Raw genomic sequence first — 22581 nt, forward strand, 5'->3', positions numbered from 1 at the left:
GCAGTTCCTTAAAAAGTTAAACAGAGTTTAACTTGACCCAGCAATTCTACTCCTTCATGTACACCCAACAGAATGGAAAACATATTTACATAAAAACTTGTACATTACATAAAAACTTGAATGTTCATAGCAGCACTATGCATAATGGCCAAAAAGTAGAAGCAACCTAAATGTTCATCAAATGGTGAATAGATAAACAAAACTTAGTATATCCATAAATGGACTATTACTTGGCCATTTCATTAATCCATACAATTGGATGTTACTCTGCACTTCATATGATTCAAAAATGATGCATGTGACAACGTGATGAACCTTGAAAACATTATGCTAAGTGAAAGATGCCAGACTCAAAAGGTCACATATCAAATGATTACTTTTACATACAAGCCCAGAATAGGCAAATCCGAAGAGAAGGTAGATTGGTGATTGTTAGAGGAGGGGTGGGATGAGGAATAACTGCTAAAGTATTCTGTTTTGTTTACAGATAGGGTCTCACTTTGTCACCAAGGATGGCGTGCAGTGGCATAATCTTGGCTCAGTGCAGCCTCAAATCCCTGGGCTCAAGTGATCCTCCCATCTCAGCCTCCCAAAGTGCTGGGATTACAGGCATGAGCCACCATGTCAGGCCCAGCGTTTCTGTTTGAGGTGATGAAAATGTTCTGGAATTAGATCACGGTGATCCTTGTACAACCTTATGAATATGCCAAAAACCACTGAATTGTATACTTTAAAAAAGTGAATTACATGGCATGTGAATTACATCCAATTTTTAAAAATCCTCACAGAGGGGAAAACAGGAAGGAGGACTACATTCTTCAAAAATGTCTGTCATTAAAGACAAAGGATATACACACGTACATAGACAAAGAGAGAGAACAAAAGATAAAGCAAATGGGGTAAAATGTTAACCTTAGGTGAATCCAGATAAAGAGTATGCAGGGGTTTTTTTTGTACTGTTTTGATTTTTGCAACTATTCTATAAACATATAATTATCTTCAAATAAAAGTTTGTTAAATGTTAAAAAGGTGGGAAAACCATGATAAAACCCAAATTTCCAAATGTTTACTGTAAATGTATTCTACTTCAATTACCTGCCAAATCCAACATGCCCATTCCCACCAAATTAGACCATATGGATAATTCTATAGGACCCTCCTAACTTATTCCTGGCTAACTTCTAATCCAATTTTGATAGGTAGGGAAAATTACAAATATATAAAAAGAGATGCTACAAACATTTCTCTTTTTTGGATATACTGGTGTTTTATAGATGTCATAAAATTAAAGAATTACTTTTAGAAAACCACCAATGACACAATCAACAGAGCAAATAGTCAATTAAAGGCCAACTATGAACTTCCACATTAATATTAAAATGTAAAATCATCTTCCTTCTAAATGAAACACATTTAAAAGATCCTGGTTAAAATAATATTTTGTATTAAAATCTGGGTATATCATAATGGGTATTAGGGTAGGATGAATAAAATCTAGTAATAATTCACAGGACCTGTGAATGCTACCTTATACGGCAAAAGGGGCTTTGTAGAAATGATTAAGTCAAGAATTTTGGGATGGGAATATTATCCTGGATTATTTGTGTGACCCCTAAATATAATTGCAGGTATAGGAGGGAGGCAGGAGCAGATGTGGCTGCAGAAGAGAAGAAAGCAATGTGACCACAGAAACAGAGATTGGAGTCATACAGCTACCAGCCGAGAACACCGGCAGGCAGCTGCCAGAAGATGGAAGAGGCAAGGAACAGATTCTCCCCAAGACCAGAAGGATCCAATCCTGATGACACCTTGATTTTATTCCTATATAACTCATTTTGAATTTATACTTAATTGTAATTGTTCTGGTTTCCAGAACTGTAAAAACAAAACAAACAAAAAAACCCAAAAAACATTTCTATTGTCTTAAGCCACAAGGTTTGTGCTAATTTGTTACAATGGCAATAGATAACTAATACATGCATATTTAAAACTTCTTGGAATTTTAAGCCTAATAAATGTCCATTATACATTAATACTGACTCTGTGATATAGGCAAACTACGGAAAAGTAAAGATTAACACAGCTAAAGTGGTTCAAATCGCTCTGATGCCTCCTAACTGGCAAACATAACTAGCATCTTTTGTGATCCAGTTTTCACATTTTATATTGTTGACGGCATTTCCCAACTGCTGTTATATCATTTCATTAATAGTGTTCATCATTCTCACCCCAAATTCTTCTGAAACATGTAGCTGTTATGATTGACAATTTTTATGTATTAGCTGTTTCTATGTAAACAACAAAGCAATGGGCACTGTAAGTTGTGATTTTTTTCTAAATGCCCCTTAATAATTGATCTAAATTTTCTGAGGGAACTGATACTCTAGAAATCACTCTAACCTAAGATGGTACTGTGCTAAAAATCCCTCAAGCATAGAGACATTCAAGATAAATTTAGATTCTACTCACACCACCACATTAAGGCAGAGATATTCTAGAATGGTCTGTAAATAACCAGGTGGCATCCTTGTTAGTCTCCATAGGAATGCAGTAACCTGAGGCTAATTGCTACTGCTCTTACAGCTTCAGCTAAGCCATCTGTTTAAAGTTAATCTTGAAAAATGAAAAATCAATCAACATTTTGCCTCTCAGATCTCGCCTACAAAGAGAATATCTAATAATTTTTTCAAATCAATAAATATCATGTACACACAAGAATTAGATAGCCATGCAGTTATAAATATGTGAAAAAGAATTTTTTAAATCTTCTTGGAACTTATGCAAACAGAAAGAAAGGAGCAACAATCATGTGAACATATATATATTCCAGTTACTGGCCCAATGTTGAATCTTGTTAATAGCTTTTAAAGATTACTGTATGTTTAAAGATTACTATACGAATGTATAAATGCCTTTATATTGTCCCTGCAAGCCACACAAAAGTATATCAGAATCCAGAGCTTAGATTACTCTCTGAACTTTCTATTTCCATTTGAAATAGATCTTTTCTAGCCATGTGTTGCCATTTTTATTTTTCTATAGTGGTACTAATTCCCAGATACTTTCTGCTAAGATATCCTTCCAATATTTCCCCAATACTATATCCTCATCAAAATGATTTTTTGTTACAATCTATTATGTTATTGGACAATTACTGTGCCAAAATCATTCTGAATAACTTCTAATCACGTTAATTGGAGTGCTTTCAAAAGGAATAAAGCATTTGGTGAAGTACTGTTTATTAAACATCTGTTTTGTATATGGCACTATAGGGTGCTACAAAGAAATAAAATAAGAACGCAGTTTTGTCCTTAAGAAGCTTATATCCTCATAAGAGAAGGTATAACATTTATAGAAAAAGCTATAATGACCAGCCACACATTAAACATGTCACAAGAGAAGTGTCAATTAAGTGTTATAGGAATTCAGAGGAGAAAAAAGATCACTTAAGACTAGGAAAATCTATAAATGTAGGCTTTAAAAATGAGAAGGATTTGGATTGGCCTTGATGGGAAGAAGAGGATGAACTGGGAGAGGGGAATGAGGAATGAATTGAGGGAGGGGAATAAGAAGGAAAAAAAAAACAGATGGTATATGAGATCAGTAAACAGCTGAGTTTGGCTGGAGTAAAAGGTATAGAACAGGAGAAGCAGGCAGAAGCTTAAGAAGGTAAGTTTCCAACTGACTCCGCGAGGCCTAAATACCAGGGTAAAAACTTTAACTTTGTCCATTAAGCAATAAAGAGTTACTCAGGATGACTACAAAAAATAAAGTCAATTGGAGTAAACAAAGCTTTAGGCTTGTTTGTTTCACTCTTTTTTGGAGGAGTGGAGAGGAAAAGGGGGAAAATTGCATATTTACTTCAGATAGCAGAAATCAGCAAATTTCAGCAGAAGCAAAAGAAAGGTAGCACACTTTAGCTGGGTGTGGTGGCTCACACCTGTAATCCCAGCAATTTGGGAGGCCGACACGGGTGGATCACTTGAGATCAGGAGTTCAAGACCAGCCTGGCCAAGATGGCAAAATCCCGTCTCTACTAAAATACAAAAATTAGCCAGGTGTGGTGGTAGGTGCCTGTAATCCCAGATACTTGGGAGGCTGAGGCAGAACTGCTTGAGCCTGGGAGGCGGAGGTTGCAGTGAGCCGAGATCACACCACTGCACTCCAGCCTGGGCGACAGTCGAGCAAGACTCTGTCTCCAAAAGAAAAAAAAGAAAAGTAGCACACATTGAATTCCATGGATGCAGAGAGCCTTAGTACATGTATGAAAGCTAACAGCACATGAGGGGGTATTCAGTCATTTCAGAATACTCAGAATTCTAAGTAGTTGAATAAGACTTTTTTCTTTTTTTGATACATACTTAAGGTGTACAACTTGGTGTTTTCATAGACATATTACAGTTACATGGTTAGATATATAGTTAAGTGGTTACTACAGTCCAGTGATTTAACATCCATCATCTCAGATATTTAACCTCTTTCCACTTTTTTGTGGTAATTACATCTAAAGTCTACTGTCTTGGCAAACTTCTAGTTATAACTATAGTCCTCATGTTGTACATTCATTGGATCTCTAGATTTTTTTCATCCTACATAACTGCAACTTTGTAGTCTTTGATCTACATCTCCCCATTTCCTGCCTCACCTCCACCCCTAACCCCCATCCCCCGTAACTACCATTCTACTCTTCGTTCCTATGTATCTGACATATTTTTAAAGATTCTCTATATAAAGTGAGATCATGCAGTATTTTTACTTCTGTGTCTGGCTTATTTCACTTGACATATAATGTCTTCCAGGTTCATTCATGTTGTTGCAAATGGCGGATTCTCCTTTTTTAAGACCGAACAATATTACATTGTATATATACTACAATTTTATTATTTACTCATCCATCAGGAACATTTAGGTTGTTTCCATATCTAGACAACCGTAAATAATGCTGCAATGGACATGGGAGTGCAAATATCTCTGTGAAGGGCTGATTTCATTTCCTTTGGATACATACCCAAAAGGGAGATTGCTGAGTCATGCAGTCATTCTATTTTTAATTTTTTGAGGAACCTCCATACTGTTTTCCATAAAACTGCACCAATTTACATTTCTACCAAGAGTGTACAAGGATTCCCCTTTCTCCACATCCTTGCCAACACTTGTTATCTTTCATCTTATTGGTAATAGCCATTATAACAGATGTGAAATGATATCTCATTTCAGTTTTGGTTTGCTTTTCTCTGATGATTAGTGACATTGAGTACCTTTTCATATACTTGTTCGTCATTTTTATGTGCTCTTGGGGGAAATGTCTACTCAGGTCCTTTGCCCAGTTTTAAATTGGGTTATGTGTTTTTTATTGAGTTATGTGAGCTCCTTATATATTTTGGATATTGACTCCTTATCAAACATATGGTTCACAAATATCTTCTCCCAATCCATAGGATGCCTTTTCCTTTTCACTTTGTGGATTGTTTCTTTTGCTGTGTAGAAACTTTTAAATTTGGCGTAGTCTCACTTATTTTTACTTTTGTTGCCTGAGTTTGTTTTTTTTTTTTTTTTTTGAGACAGAGTCTTGCTCAGTTGCCCAGGCTAGAGTGCAGTGGCGCAATCTTGGCTCACTGCAAGCTCTGCCTCCCGGGTTCACACCATTCTCCTGCCTCAGCCTCCCGAGTAGCTGGGACTACAGGCGCCTGCCACCCTGCCCGGGTAATTTTTTTGTATTTTTAGTAAAGATGGGTTTTCACCGTGTTAGCCAGGATGGTCTCCATCTCCTGACCTCGTGATCCACCCGCCTCGGCCTCCCAAAGTCCTGCGATTACAGGCGTGAGCCATCACGCCCAGCCAAATGCTGCCCGATTTTTTGATGTGATATCCAAAAAATCATTGCCAAAGTCAATGTCAAGGAGCTTTTCTCCTATGTTTTCTACTAGGAGTTACATGGCTTCAGGCGTTATGTTTAGGTCTTTAATCTATTTTTAGTTGTGTAAGATAACTATCTTTGTGTATGTGTAAGATAAAGGTCTAGTTTCATTCTTTTGCATGTGGATATCCATTCTCCCAACACCATTTATTGAAGAGACTATTCTTTCCCAATTGTGTCTTCTTGGTGCCCTTGTTAAAAATTATTTGACTGTATATACTTGGGTTTACTTCTGGGCTCTCTATCCTGTTCCACTGTCTGTTCCCATGCCAGTACTATACTGCTTTGATTACTATAGCTTTGTGACATAATTTGAAATCAGGAAGTGTGATGCCTCCAACTTTGTTTTTCCTAAAATTGCTTTGGCTATTCAGGGTCTTTTGTGGTTTCATATGAATTTTAGAATTCTTTTTTCTATTTCTGTGAAGAATGCCATTGAAATTTTGATAGGAATTGCACTGAACCTGTATATTGCTTTGGGTAGTATGGATGATACTAATTCTTCCAATCCATAAACATGGAATACCTTTCCATTTATTTGTGTCTTCTTCAATTTATTTCATTAATGTTTAATCATTTTTATTGTAGAGATATTTCACCTCCTTTGTTAAAGTTATTTCTAGATATTTTATTTAACACAGTGTGCTATATTACACTGATTGATCTGTGTATGTTAAACCATACTTGCATCCCTGGGATGAATCCCACTTGGTCATGATGTATAATATTCTTTATGTATTGTTGAATTCAGTTTGCTAGTATTTTATTGAAGATTTTTGCAGCTGTGTTCATCAGAAATATTAGCCTATAGTTTTCATTTATTTTGTTGTCGTTGTTGTTTAGGTCATTTTTGTCTTTGCTTTTGTTTTAGAGATGGGGTCTCACTATGTTGCCCAGGCAGGACTCCAACTCCCAGGCTCAAGTGATCCTCTCACCTCAGCCTCCAGAGTAGCTGGAACTACTGGTATGTGCCACCACACCTCACTAGTTTTGTTTTCTTGTGGTGTCTTTGTCTGGAAAATTGGTATCAGGTGATGGTGACCTTATAAAATGAGTCTGGGCTGGGTGCAGTGGCTCACACCTGTAATCCCAGTAACTCAGGAGGCTGAGGCAGAAGGACTGTTTGAGACTATGAGTTTGACACCAGACTAGACAACATAGTGAGACCCTGTCTCCAACAAAATATTTAAAAATTAGCCAGGCATGGTTATATGCACTTGTAGTTCCTGATACTTGGGAGGCTGAGGTGGGAGGACTGCTTGAGCCAAGGAGTTCAAGGCTGCAGTGAGCTATAATCATGCCACTGCACTCCAGCTTGGGTAACAGAGCAAGACCCCCATCTCTGAAAATAAAACTAAAAATAAAAATAAATGAGTTTGGAAGTATTTCCTCTAGTTCTATGTTTTTGGAAGATAAGGATTGGTACTATTTGAATGTTTGGTAGAATTCAGCCATGAAGCCATTTGGTTCTGGGCTTTTCTTTGTTGGGAGGATTTTAATTACTACTTTAATAACTATTTGTTATTGGTCTGTTCAGGCTTTCTATTTGTTCCTCATTCAATTCTGGCAGGTATATGTTTCTAAGAATTTATCCATTTCCTCTAGGTTATCTAATTTGTTGGCTTAAAATTGTTCAATCGTCTCTAGTGATCTTTTTTATTTCTGAGGTCTCCACTTTTATTTCTGATTTTTTAATTTCAGTCTTCTCTTTTTTTTTCTTAGTCTAGCTAAGGCTTTGTCACTCTTATATGTTAGAAGAGCCAACTAAGTTTTGTTAATGTATTTTTCTATTCTCTATTTGATTTATTTCTGCTCTGGTCTTTATTAACTCCTTCCTTCTGCTAACTTTGGGTTTACTTTATTCTTTTTTTCCTAGTTCCTTGAGGTGTAACATTAGCTTGTTTATTGGAGATCTTTCTTCTTTCTAAATGCAGGTGTTTATCGCTATAAACTTCCCTCTTAGAACTGCTTTTGCTGTGTCCCTTAGGTTTTGGTATGTTGTGTTTCCATTTTCATTTGTCTCAATATATTTTTTTAATTTCCTTTTGGATTTCTTCTTTGACCTCTTGGTTGTTCAGGAGCATGATGTTTAATTTCCACATGTTTTTGAATTTTCCAGTTTTTTTCCTATTATTGATTCCTAGTTTCATACCACTGTGATCATCAAAGATACTTGATATGATTTCAGTCTCTTAAATTTCAATCTTCTCAAAGTCTTCTTTGTTAAGACTTGTTTTGTGGCCTAATATATGATCTATCCTGGATAATGTTCCACGTGCACTTGAAAAGAATGTGTATTCCGCTGCTGTTGGATGGAATGTTTTGTACATATCTGCTAGATTCATTTGGTCTAAAGTGTAGTTCAAGTCCAATGCTTCCTAATTGATTTTCTGTCTGGATGATCTCTCCAGTGTTGAAAGTGGGGTACTGAAGTCCCCTACTACTATTGTCTTACTGTCTATTTCCCCCTTCATATCTGTTAACAATTGATCATATATATATTTAGGTGCTCTGATATTATGTGCATATATATTTACAATTGTTATATCTTCTTGATGAATTGAGACCATAAGACTTTTCTTAATGTCCAGTTCTTTGAGCACTATATAATACATGGCCTCTATAACTAAAGCCTACTGCTATCATAAAATCCTCTTTTTATCTCTAAAGACTGCTAAGTGTTTTCAAAATAGTTCAGGAAATAAACTTGAACTATAAGTTTATCAGGAAATAAACCTGAAGCTTCTCAGCAGGATGAATGGAGTCTTGGAATTTAAATGTGCCTGTTCCTAATCTTTGTATTCAGAATAAAAATATTAGGCATCCAACTGCTGATCTTAGGAGGCCCCCTAGTGCGCACAGAGCAGACACTTTAGCAATCTGAACACAGACACTTTAGAAATACCTTTAACAAATTAACTATGGGATTGATCTGTAACACAAAAAATATATTTTTAGGAGAATCAATGATACAGAAAAAATGTAAAAGACTATTTTAGTTAATTCATCTTGAATTACTTTGAGCCAACTTTCAGAAGACAAAGATTAGAAAATCCTAAGCAATATTTAATAATATTATTTTTCAAAATCATGATCTGTGATAGTAACATTCCATTTTACTTTTTTTATTTCTTGATCCAGTCAAATTATGTATGCATCACTATATAACATTCGAAATACCGAAAGCTTTAGATGGCAACACATTATGATTAAGTCTTTTATAAGGAGAGTTTATCCCTTGTATAATTTAAAAAAATAAAATTTCAGGTGGGGCGTGGTGGCTCACGCCTGTAATCCTAGCACTTTGGGAGGCCGAGGCAGGCAGATTCCCTGAGCTCAGGAGTTTGAGACCAGTCTGGGCAACACAGTGAAACCCCGTCTCTACTAAAAATACAAAAAATTAGCCGGGCATGGTAGCGTGTGCTTGTAGTAGCTGTAGTCCCAGCTACTCAGGAGGCTGAGGCACGACCATCACTTGAACCCCGGAGGCAGAGGTCTCAGTGAGCCAAGATCGTACCACTGCACTCCAGCCTGGATGACAGAGCAAGACTCTGTCTCAAAAAATTAATTAATTAATTAATTAATTAAATAAAATTGTAAAGGTCAGTGTGCATTATTTTCCTCAATAGTTGTTTATCTTCTGGAATCTCATAGTACTTAATTCTGTAACATTATAACAATTGCCATGTTTATCATGATAACATTCTTCAACGGCATTCTCTTTCTTACTTTCTTACCACTGTCTTTAACTGAGGAGATATCTGGTATTTGCAAGCAGCTGAAAAATGTGTTATAAATGACTTAATGGTAATTTAAATATCCAAATCTGCAAATAATATACCTGTATTTTATATATATATATATATATATATATATACATTTTTTAAGTTCTAGGGTACTTGTGCACAACGTGCAGGTTTGTTACATACGTATACATGTGCCATGTTGCTGTGCTGCACCCATTAACTCATCATTAACATTAGGTATTTCTCCCAATGCTATCCCTCCCCCGTCCCCCCACCCCACCACAGGCCCTGGTGTGTGATGTTCTCCACCCTGTCTCCAGGTATTCTCATTGTTCAACTCCCACCTATGAGTGAGAACATGCAGTGTTTGGTTTTCTGTCCATGCAACAGTTTGCTCAGAATGATGGTTTCCAGCTTCATCAATGTCCCTACAAAGGATGTGGGCTCATGCTTTTTTATGGCTGCATAGTATTCCATGGTGTATATGTGCCATATTTTCTTAATCCAGTCTATCATTGTTGGACATTTGGCTTGGTTCCAAGTCTTTGCTATTGTGAAAAGCGCTGCAATAAACATACGTGTGCATATGTCTTTATAGCAGCATGATTTATAATCCTTTGGGTATATACCCAGTAATGGGATCGCTGGGTCAAATGGTATTTCTAGTTCTAGATCCTTGAGGAATCGCCACACTGTCTTCCACAATGGTTGAACTAGTTTACACTCCCACCAACAGTGTAAAAGTGTTCCTATTTCTCCACATCCTCTCCAGCACCTGTTGTTTCCTGACTTTTTAATGACCGCCATTCTAACTGGTGTGAGATGGTATCTCATTGTGGTTTTGATTTGCATTTCTCTGATGGCCAGTGATGATGAGCATTTTTCATGTGTCTGTTGGCTGCATAAATGTTTTCTTTTGAAAAGTGTCTGTTCGTATCCTTCACCCACTTGTTGATGGGGTTGTTTGATTTTTTTCTTGTAAATTTAAGTTCTTTGTAGATTCTGGCTATTAGCCCTTTGTCAGATGGGTAGATTGCAAAAATTTTCTCCCATTCTATAGGTTACCTGATCACTCTGATGGTAGTTTCTTTTGCTGTGCAGAAGCTCTTTAGTTTAATTAGATCCCATTTGTCTATTTTGGCTTTTGTTGCCATTGCTTTTGGTGTTTTAGTCATGAAGTCCTTGCCCATGCCTATGTCCCGAATGGTATTGCCTAGGTTTTCTTCTAGGGTTTTTATGGTTTGAGTCTTTAATCCATCTTGAATTAATTTTTGTATAAGGTGTAAGGAAGGGATCCAGTTTCAGCTTTCTACATATGGCTAGCCAGTTTCCCCAGCATCATTTATTGAATAGGGAATCCTTCTCCCATTTCTTGTTTTTGTCAGGTTTGTCAAAGATCAGATGCTTGTAGATGTGTGGTATTATTTCCGAGGGCTCTATTCTGTTCCATTGGGTTATATCTCTGTTTTGGTACAAGTACTATGCTGTTTTGGTTACTTTAGCCTTGTAGTATAGTTTGAAGTCAGGCAGCATGACGCCTCCAGCTTTGTTCTTTTGGCTTAGGATTGTCTTGGCAATGTGGGCTCTTTTTCGGTTCCATATGAACTTTAAAGTAGTTTTTTCCAATTCTGTGAAGAAAGTCATTGGTAGCTTGATGGGAATGGCATCCCCATCAATTTTCATGATATTGATTCTTCCTATCCATGAGCATGGAATGTTCTTCCATTTCTTTGTGTCCTCTTTTATTTTGTTGAGCAGTGGTTTGTAGTTCTCCTTGAAGAGGTCCTTCACATTCCGTGTAAGTTGGATTCCTAGGTATTTTATTCTCTTTGAAGCAATTGAGATTGATTCCTAGGTATTTTATTCTCTTTGATGCAAAGAGATTGAATGGGAGTTCACTCATGATTTGGCTCTCTGTTTGTCTGTTATTGGTGTATAGGGATGCTTGTGATTTTTGCACATTGATTTTGTATCCTGAGACTTTGCTGAAGTTTCTTATCAGCTTAAGGAGATTTGGGGCAGATAAAATGGGGTCTTCTAAATGCGCAATCATGCCCTCTGCAAACAGGGACAATTTGACTTCCTCTCTTCCTATTGGAATACCCTTTATTTCTTTCTCCTGCCTGATTGCCCTGGCCAGAACTTCCAACACTATGTTGAATAGGAGTGGTGAGAGAGGGCATCCCTGTCTTGTCACACTTTTCAAAGGGAATGTTTCCAGTTTTTGCCCATTCAGTATGATATTGGCTGTGGGTTTGTCATAAATAGCTCTTACTATTTTGAGATATGTCCCATCAATACCTAGTTTATTGAGAGTTTTTAGCATGAAGGGCTGTTGAATTTTGTCAAAGGCCTTTTCTGCATCTATTGAGATAACCATGTGGTTTTTGCCATTGGTTCTGTTAATATGATGGATTAAGTTTATTGATTTGCATATGTTGAACCAGCCTTGCATCTCAGGGATGAAGCCAACTTGATTATGGTGGACACGCTTTTTGACGTGCTGCTGGATTCGTTTTGCCAGTATTTTATTGAGGATTTTTGTGTCAATGTTTATCAGGGATATTGGTCTAAAATTCTCTTTTTTTGTTGTGTCTCTGCCAGGCTTTGGTATGAGGATGATGCTGGCCTCATAAAATGAGTTAGGGAGGATTCTCTCTTTTCTATTGATTGGAATAGTTTCAGAAGGAATGATACCAGCTCCTCTCTGTACCTCTGGTAGAATTCAGCTGTGAATCCGTCTGGTCCTGGACTTTTTTTGGTTGGTAAGCTACTAATTATTCTCTCAATTTCAGAGCCTGTTATTGGTCTATTCAGGGATTCAACTTCTTCCTGGTTTAGTCTTGGGAGGGTGTATGTGTCCAGGAATTTATCCATTTCTTCTAGATTTTCTAGTTTATTTGCGTAGAGGTGTTTATAGTATTCTCTGATGGTAGTTTGTATTTCTGTGGGATTGGTGGTGATATCCCCTTTATAATTTTTTATTGCCTCTATTTGATTCTTCTCTCTTTTCTTCTTTATTAGTCTTGCTAGCGGTCTATCAATTTTGTTGATCTTTTCAAAAAACCAGCTCCTGGATTCATTGATTTTTTGAAGGGTTCTTTTGTGTCTCTATCTCCTTCAGTTCTGCTCTGATCTTAGTTATATCTTGCCTTCCGCTAGCTTTTGAATGTGTTTGCTCTTGCTTCTCTAGTTCTTTTAATTGTGATGTTAGGATGTCAATTTTAGATCTTTCCTGCTTTCTCCTGTGGGCATTTAGTACTATAAATTTCCCTCTACACATGGCTTTAAATGTGTCCCAGAGATTCTGGTATGTTATGTCTTTGGTCTCATTGGTTTCAAAGAACATCTTTATTTCTGCCCTCATTTCGTTATTTACCCAGTAGTCATTCAGGAGCAGGTTGTTCAGTTTCCATGTAGTTGTGCGGTTTTGAGTGAGTTTCTTAATCCTGAGTTCTAATGATTGCACTGTGGTCTGAGAGATAGTTTGTTATGATTTCTGTTCTTTCACATTTGCTGAGGAGTGCTTTACTTCCAACTATGTGGTCAATTTTGGAATAAGTGCAATGTGGTGCTGAGAAGAATGTATATTCTGTTGATTTGGGGTGGAGAGGTCTGTAGATGTCTATTAGGTCCACTTGGTGCAGAGCTGAGTTCAAGTCCTGGATATCCTTGTTAACTTTCTGTCTCGTTGATCTGTCTAATGTTGACAGTGGGGTGTTAAAATCTCCCACTATTATTGTGTGGGAGTCTAAGTCTCTTTGTAGGTCTCTCAGGACTTGCTTTATGAATCTGGGTGCTCCTGTATTGGGTGCATATATATTTAGGACTGTAAGCTCTTCTTGTTGAATTGATCCCTTTACCATTATGTAATGGCTTTCTTTGTCTCTTTTGATTTTTGTTGGTTTAAAGTCTGTTTTATCAGAGACTAGGATTGCAACCCCTGCTTTTTTTTTTGTTTTCCATTTGCTTGATAGATCTTCCTCCATCCCTTTATTTTGAGCCTATGCATGTCTCTGCACATAAGATGGGTCTCCTGAATACAGCACACTGATGGGTCTTGACTCTTTATCCAATTTGCCAGTCTGTGTCTTTTAATTGGGGCATTTAGTCCATTTACATTTAACATTAATATTGTTATGTGTGAATTTGATCCTGTCATCATGATGTTCGCTGGTTTTTTTTGCCCATTAATTGATGCAGTTTCTTCATAGCATCGATGGTATTTACAATTTGGCATGTTTTTGCAGTGGCTGGTACTGGTTTTTCCTTTCCATGTTTAGTGCTTCCTTCAGGAGCTCTTTTAGGGCAGGCCTGGTGGTGACAAAATCTCTCAGCATTTGCTTGTCTGTAAAGTATTTTATTTCTCCTTCACTTATGAAGCTTAGTTTGGCTGGATATGAAATTCTGGGTTGAAAATTCTTTTCTTTAAGAATGTTGAATATTGGCCCCCACTCTCTTCTGGCTTGTAGAGTTTCTGCTGAGAGATCCACTGTTAGTCTGATGGGCTTCCCTTTGTGGGTAACCCAACCTTTCTCTCTGGCTGCCTTTAACATTTTTTCCTTCATTTCAACCTTGGTGAATCTGACAATTATGTGTCTTGGGGTTGCTCTTCTCAAGGAGTATCTTTGTGACGTTCTCTGTATTTCCTGAATTTGAATGTTGGCCTGTCTTGCTAGGTTGGGGAAGTTCTCCTGGATAATATCCTGAAGAGTGTTTTCCAACTTGGTTCCATTCTCCTCATCACTTTCAGGTATACCAATCAAATGTAGATTTGGTCTTTTCACATAGTCCCATATTTCTTGGAGGCTTTGTTCATTTCTTTTTACTCTTTTTTCTCTAAACTTCTCTTCTTGCTTCATTTCATTCATTTGATCTTCAATCACTGATACCCTTTCTTCCACTTGATCAAATCGGCTACTGAAGCTTGTGCATGCATCATGTAGTTCTCATGCCATGGTTTTCGGCTCCATTGGGTCATTTAAGGTCTTCTCTACACTGTTTATTCTAGTTAGCCATTCATCTAGTCTTTTTTCAAGGTTTTTAGCTTCCTTGCAATGGGTTTGAACATCCTCCTGTACTTTGGAGAAGTCTGTTATTACCAATCTTCTGAAGCCTACTTTAGTCAACTCGTCAAAGTCATTCTCCATCCAGTTTTGTTCCATTGCTGAGGAGCTGTGAATCTTTGGAGGAGAAGAGGCGTTCGGTTTTTAGAATTTTCAGCTTTTCTGCTCTGGTTTCTCCCCATCTTTGTGGTTTTATCTACCTTTGGTCTTTGATGATGGTGACCTACAGATGGGGTTTTGATGTGGATGTCCTTTTTGTTGCTGTTGATGCTATTCATTTCTGTTTGTTAGTTTTCCTTCTAACAGTCAGGACCCTCAGCTGCAGGTCTGTTGGAGTTTGCTGGAGGTCCACTCCAGACCCTGTTTTCCTGGGTATCACCAGCGGAGGCTGCAGAGCAGCAAATATTGCACAACAGCAAATGTTGCTGCCTGATCCTTCCTCTGGAAGTTTCATCTCAGAGGGACACCCGGCTGTATGAGGTGTCAGTTGGCCCCTACTGGGAGATGTCTCCCAGTTAGGCTACTTGGGGGTCAGGGACCCACTTGAGGAGGCAGTCTGTCCGTTCTCAGATCTCAAACTCCGTGCTGGGAGAACCACTACTCTCTTCAAAGCTGTCAGACAGGGACGTTTAAGTCCGCAGAAGTTTCTGCTGCCTTTTATTCAGCTATGTCCTGCTTCCAGAGGTGGAGTCTACAGAGGCAGGCAGGCCTCATTGAGCTGTGGTGGGCTCCACCCAGTTTGAGCTTCCCAGCCGCTTTGTTTACCTAGTCAAGCCTCAGCAATGGCGGACGCCCCTCCCCCAGCCTCGCTGCCACCTCGCAGTTCCATCTCAGACTGCTGTGCTAGCAGTGAGCAAGGCTCCATGGGTGTGGGACCCACCAAGCCAAGTGTGGGATATAATCTCCTGGTGTGCTGTTTGCTAAGACTCTTGGAAAAGTGCAGTATTAGGGCAGGAGTGTCCCAATTTTCCAGGTACCATCTGTCACAGCTTCCCTTGGCTAGGAAAGGTAATTCCCTGACCCCTTGCGCTTCCCTGGTGAGGCAGTGCCCCACCCTGCTTCGGCTCACACACTGTGGGCTGCACCCACAGTCCAACTAGTCCCAATGAGACGAACCCAGTACCTCAGTTGGAAATGCAGAAATCACCCATCTTCTGCGTCGCTCACTGAGAGCTGTAGACTGGAGCTATTCATATTTGGCCATCTTGGAACTGTATACCTGTATTTTTTATGTATATAGGGTAACCTGTCCCAGAACCACTACCAGCCCTCCATCCCTACCCCCACCCTCTATGTTCCTGGGCAAACCCATAGAATTTCTGTCCTTTTAATGATATTGAGACATAACCCTTTATCCTCTTCTACCCCTCTTTTCTTCTCTCTTTCCTCCTCCTCCAATTGGGAGAGACTTATCTAATTAGTAATACTAGGGAAAGGGGCACTAACTCATGCCTAACTCATGCCGTTACTGGCTTTCTCTTTTGAGATACAGCCTATTAGTGACAGTCTCTCTTCACCAATACAGTTAACAGCTTATTCTATGGGGTCAGGACTACAAGTTATCCAACTGTCTGGCTGAGAGTGTGTGGGTGAGTTTAATAGAGTAGGACAAGAATATTAAGCCACATTTTCTAATGCTAGCCATAAGCTAATATTTTAATCCCTGACTTCAGCATCTATTTCTAAATTAAAGTATTATCAATTTATCATCCAAACAATACAAATTAGAGCAAATTTAAGATTATCCCTTTAATAACATAACCCACTTCCTGTGCTTTTTTTTTTGAGTGGGAGGGAAGGGAATTAAGTGTTGTCCTTAATATACTTAAACATGTATCATTCTTTGCAAATTGCACAACAACATAAAAAAGCCAAGACCTTTGGGAACAAGAGCTTACATTTAGGCCATTGATCATTTCTTGTCTTATACCTCACTTAAAGTGGATGCAACCTTATCTTCTAAATGAGAGAAATATTCCTTGAACATACACACCAAGTCTTATTAAATATTGTTTTTATGCCACTCACTAAATAACTTAAGGCAATTTTATATGCTAAGTGAAGCTTCCTTGATGTCTCCAAAAGTCACAGAAAATTATTGCCTTTGGTTGGTTAAAGCCCTTTCTTTATTTCAAGAACATATATCTGAGACCCTTACTTCTTAAAACGAAACATGCTTTAGATTTATTTTAAAGTACACCATAAATCTGTATAGAATCCATGAACATATGTGAGGATTTGTGAATAAATGTTTGCCTCTGGCTTGGCTTATATACTCATGTTTTTTTCTTGTATTACTGTAAGTTTCTGTTTTCCTTAATTTGGCATCTAAAAATAATAAAACCACAATGAACTTTTAGCATGTCATCAACACTCACAAATCATATGTATTTACCATTTCCAGAACACAAATTTGCATTAAAACAACTCATTAGATTCCATAAATACTCTATCACTATTTATCAGGAATTACATATATGGCTCCAACTTTATACAGCATTCAGTCTAATTTTTGTGGTGATTTTTTTTTCCCTTTTGTTAACTGCCATGAAGCTACTTATTGGTGTGGGTTTCTGATGGGGAAAAACATTCCATTGGTAAATTTTAAGTACCACTTATAAGCTTATATTCTGAGATGGTTCTATACAGAGAACACTGCAGGTTGACTCCTAGCTGCTGTACACTTACAGGAAAGGACAGAAATCACAAAATATGATAAGCCTGTGTTCAACTTTTTTACTAGTAGTTATATAAACTTGGGTAACATACATAACTTCTATGATCCTTGCTTTTCTCATCTAAAATTAGAGATGATAATCCTTATTTTACAGAGTTTTAAACTCTACGAGAAAAAAGAAAGTGGGAATCATAACACATAGTAGGTATAAAACAAATGATAGTTATCCTAATCAGTCTCAACAGCAGTTCTAATGCAAATGAAGGCTACCATGGATTCATGGCATTGCTGCAACAATATTTATTTAAAGAGACTTGAGACAACACACAATATTTAGTTTTAAATCAACTTACCAAGACAGGAGTATAAGCCCTGACTTATCCAAGCCAATATGGCAAGAGTTATAAGGTCGCCAAAACTAGCAGCAATGGGTGTAGCAACATTATCAGGATTTATACCAGTCTTCTTTGAACCAACGATAACCCCAACCATTATTATTCCTAGAAGAAAGAATGTTCATTACTTTTTAGGCTATGATTTAAAGAAAATCAATCCCCCAAATACCAAAATGTGTAGGATAGAAAAACAGCATATCAATTCCAGTTAGACTGCTTAGATAAGCTGACTAAAGCAAACAAAACATTTACTCTAACGCTTTGGCAAAATGCCTTTCAACAAACTCCAAGTGGGGATCATAGAAAATTTAAGAAGTTCAGCATTGTATTTAGAGGCCTGAAAGCTACTAAAATTATGGTAAAGCTAAAATTTCAGATTTAGTGACATGTATATCTTAGATATAATGTATTTGTGTGTATTGAATCCAAAGGTTTTAATTTTAACCCTCAAATAAAGTATGAAAACATCAAAAAAAAAGGTGAGTCATATGTATATGTACAACAACTGGGAAGAAGGCCAACAAAACCAGATTTGTTTACATATGGCAGCTAGAAATGCTTATTTCATTTTATTACTTAAAGACGTTGAAGTATTAAGCAGCAGGACATAATTAAATTTTAAAACACTGAAGGCCAGAATACAAGAAACAGTCTTTGTAAAAGATATTCTTTAAACCTGAAGTTTCTGTCTATAAACCTACGAGAGAATAGAAGATGAAAATTTAACTGTGTACTTGTACTTTTACATCCTAATTTTCTTAAATTATACAAATGGGATAAAACTATTAACATTTATATCCACTCTAAATTGTGTAGATTTTGTCACACCAAGATACTCATTAAGAGGATGTAGTAAAGAGAAAACTTTAAATGTGCTAACCACAAATCAATATGAAAGCCTAAATATGGCTATGGAGAAAAACAGTAACAGAATCTCACAGCACTTTTAGAGTTAAAATGACTCTAAATGTTTTTGTTCCAGCATACTCACTTTATAGATAATAAAACTGAGGTCCTGTAGAGTAGGGCTTAAATTCTTGCCTAAAGTCACATAGCTTGTGACTCTAGCCCAGTGTTTTTTACTCTACCTATTAAAGCCAAAATTTTAATAAGCAGAATTTTTGTCTTGCATCAAACAGTGCCTTATATTTTAGTATTCTGGAGGCTTTTTAAATTACTAGACTTACCTTTCCCATAATATCATTGAAAAAGAAAAAAAGCTATAGCAGAAAACTTTTTAAAAAAAATACATTATGCAATAATCAGGCAAGATGTAATCGCTTAGAATCTTTTTCCAAAATCAGCACATTTGAAGATGTATATGGGAAGTTCTCCTACACATAGTACCATCTATATCTTTTCAACTGAAAACAAATATTTTGTATGTATCATAGTCCAGTGGAAAGAGCTAAGAGTTAGGAAACGTGTTTTAGTTCTGATTCAGCTGGTAACAAGTTGATGAGATTGGACAAGTCACCTTACCTAAGTTTTCTCACCTACAAATATGGCTAAGAGTTTCTACTTTACATATACTAAAGTGCTTATAAAGGTCAAGTTATCATAAAATTAGAACACACATTATTCAAAGTCAGAAGCTTTAAACAAATACTTTTTAAAATTCTGAATTTTGGATAGTTTTGAAAAGCTTTCAAATACTTGTTAGACTGAAAAATTTTAAATGACACTTTCTAAATGAAATAAAATCAGAAAGAAAAAAGAAGCAAATGAGCCTAAAAAAATAGCATGCTGATGGCATAATTATTTTTGTACCAACAATTTAATTTTCCAATAGCTTAACTTCACTCTGCTTTGGTCAATGTTAACTCCATTCAACTATAGTAATTCTTTATGAAGACAAGAAACTACCCCGATACAATTAAACTACTAAAACAAAATGCTTGAAAATATTTTGGAAATCGAGTTATAATTTTAATAAGATTCCCTAAATTCCCAGAACCTAGCCAAAAAAGTTAGCTGCATTGTATGATCACCTAACATGACAATAATCCACTTTAAACTTTGCTGGTGATATAAGGGCAAGAAAATGGCAATTATAAAATAAAAAGAACAAAGTCTTTATGATTGTGATTCCACAATAAGCTAATTCTCTAGTGTAAAGTTCATACGAATAAATATAAAGAAAAATAACCCAAATAAAAGTTCTAAAGTAGTTAATTTTTAAAACCTTCTGGCTCTTTAAATTCTATAGCCAACAATATGCTATCTTAAGTATAAGGTTATATTTGTATTGCCACAGAAACAGGGAAGAAATTTTTCTTGAAATCTGAAACAAAAAAATTTCAACAGAGGATGACTTTTGAAACCCAGAATTCCTGGAACACTTGTTACTCAAGTGACAAGCTAGTAAATCCCCTGCATGATGTCCAGAAAGGAGTTTCCCAATTTATTTAACTTACAGAAACAAATGAATGTCTAGGCGATTTTCCTGATCTTTTTGAGGAACTATAACGGAGTATCCAAGGCCAGGAGACAACCTCAGAAAAGCCTGTTCTACACTAAGTTTTATAAATAATGAAATGTAAATATATCTGGAATAACTAAGGCATTTTTTAAGTTTGTAGATATGTTTTTTCTGTTGTTTTCATAACAGGTATCATTTAAATAAAAATAGTCATCTTAAGAAATAAACCATTTAAATGTAAAAGGCTATAGAGTAGACATTTATAAATTCACTTACCCTGCAGAAGAGATGCAATGAAGGCAGTTGCCACACTGCTAGAGCACAGAAGTATGGAATGATCAAGGTAATATTTTCCTTCTGGAATCCAGCCCAATATAATTGCTGCCACAGCTGCTAGAAAACCCACTACTGTTGCCTGAACCTAAAATTTTTTTCATAAATCCAACTGAATTATTCACTTTAAAAACACATTTAAACATTTTGATTATGTAAATATTACTACAAAAAGTCAAAAAAAGTATTGCATGTAATAATTGAGCTACATTACCTTTTAGAGTAGTTACTATATTTTGGTTTTAATATTCCCTAAGATGGTGGGTTCTCAAACTGCTCTGATGATCTGGTGACAAGTATGGAACGGAGTCCAGGAATCTGTTTTTAACAAGCACCCCAAGTGATGCTGATGGTATAACTAATAGATCACCTAAGAAAATGCCACCTTCAGACTGAGAAGTACCCAATCCACACATCTGAAGTCTGACTCTAGAGGTAGTGCTGGCAAGAGATTGGATTTTATAATAGAAAGATAGGAGTTTGACTCCTGGTTCTAGCACTTAATCTTGTAGCAAATTATTTAAACTCATTCATTCAAGGAGTATTTATTTAGATTCTACTATGTATAATGTGCTATGTTTTGTGTTGGGCTACAGCAGTGGTCAACGTAGATTATTCCCTGCCCTCACAGAGCTCTTGGTCAGTGGGAGAGACAAACATTTGAAAATAACCTCACAAATAAGCACAATTGTGATTAGTGCTATGAAAATTTCAGTTCCTAATCAGTAAGACCACAATAACCTCAAACTTTGTGATTTAAATTAATTATATAAATATATAAACTGCTTTCCACAGTGCTGACACAAAGCAAGAATAAAAAAAACCTGCCACTAAGAAATAACACTCACCGCTAACTCAGCCTCAGATTAATAGGATGTCAGAACTAAAAGAAACCCTACAAGAATCATCTATTGCACTCACTCTTAGCTGAGTTTGTGTCATGGACTCCTTTGACAATCTGGTAAAAACTCTATAGAATAGAGTTCTCTTTCTCTAGGCAAACACAGAGGCACTCAATATTTTGAGTAGAATTTCTTGATGTTCATGGACTCTCTGAAGCCAATCCACGTGCTGGAATCGAGGGCTCCAAGTAAAAAATTCCTGAAGTAGTCATATAGTAAATCAACAGAAGAGCCAGGACTAAAGAGACCATATATCCTGGACTCCAGCCCCATGATCTTGTATTAATATTACAGCTTCTGTGGATGTCATCCACAGATACAGAGCTGAGATTCAAACCAATAAGCACCATGATGAGTGTAGCAGTTAAAATATTTCAGGATTTTCATTCTGGTTAGTAAATGATGTAATTACACTTTAAAGCAGTAAAATTAATTTATAATATAAATTCTAGCACTATGATTCCAAGTCCTGTCTGGCTTGACATTGGAACACAGAGCTAGAGAACCTACTGCAGACATCATGGTGTGTATATATGTATATATAAATCTGTCAATTTCTGAGAAAATAAAAGCACACAGCTGAGATGAGGAAGTCCTATTCTGGAAATATGCAAAATAATGACTAACTGAAAAATGACTAATTGTACCCAAGAGAAAGCAAAGTCTGGGTTTAAGTAGTAGATGTGAAGGTTAACAGGGGCCATAGGCCTGAAGAGATGTTTGGTACAGGACACGTCCCTCCTGGTGAGGCAACAGTTCCTCATGTGGGACTGGAGACTTTGCTTTATCTGACTACTTATGTATGTATTTGGTCCAGAAGACCATTCTGTACAATCGTGAAGAAATCTGTGACAGGCGATCTGCCTGGGGCTCCATTTAACAGTGAGAAGAGCACAACCCTGAGCAAGTGGGAGTGTGGGCCTCGTCTGTGCTTTCTACCCTTCTCTCTTTCTACCCTCCATGGCCAGTCTCCAGGCAGAGGAGGCTTGTGCCAGCCCATCCTACTCCCCTCCCACACTCATCATCTACTCTTTCACAAGTGTTAGCAGAAGAAGCCTCAGGAAGAAAAAACCCTCTCCCCCAACCATTACCCCCACCGCTCCATCTTCTTTTCTTCTCACTT

The 22581-nt window shown here is 37.0% G+C and overlaps 1 protein-coding gene across 22 annotated transcripts in view, besides 1 other annotated feature; it reads right to left on the reverse strand.

Annotated features, from left to right (window-relative positions):
* Positions 1 to 22581, reverse strand: part of SLC41A2 (solute carrier family 41 member 2) — a 156946-nt gene that overhangs the window by 66733 nt on the left and 67632 nt on the right. For all 22 annotated transcript variants that reach the window (NM_001387125.1, NM_001352169.2, XM_047429648.1 and 19 more), the window contains 2 exons: positions 20500 to 20644; positions 17760 to 17906 (listed from right to left, as the gene is read on the reverse strand). In NM_001387125.1, coding sequence (NP_001374054.1) covers positions 17760 to 17906; positions 20500 to 20644 — 292 coding nt within the window. The remainder of the gene's footprint in view (positions 1 to 17759; positions 17907 to 20499; positions 20645 to 22581) is intronic.
* Positions 16078 to 16247: an enhancer, noted in NCBI's record as "experimental_24038 CRE fragment used in MPRA reporter constructs". NCBI's record gives its function as "activates a minimal promoter by MPRAs in K562 erythroleukemia cells, with activity observed for both the introgressed and non-introgressed 12:105278474 variant alleles {active_cell/tissue: K562}" and the evidence as "EXISTENCE:reporter gene assay evidence [ECO:0000049][PMID:34662402]".

This window comes from Homo sapiens, chromosome 12 (assembly GCF_000001405.40).
Source record: "Homo sapiens chromosome 12, GRCh38.p14 Primary Assembly".
In the NCBI taxonomy this organism is placed as follows: Eukaryota; Metazoa; Chordata; class Mammalia; order Primates; family Hominidae; genus Homo; species Homo sapiens.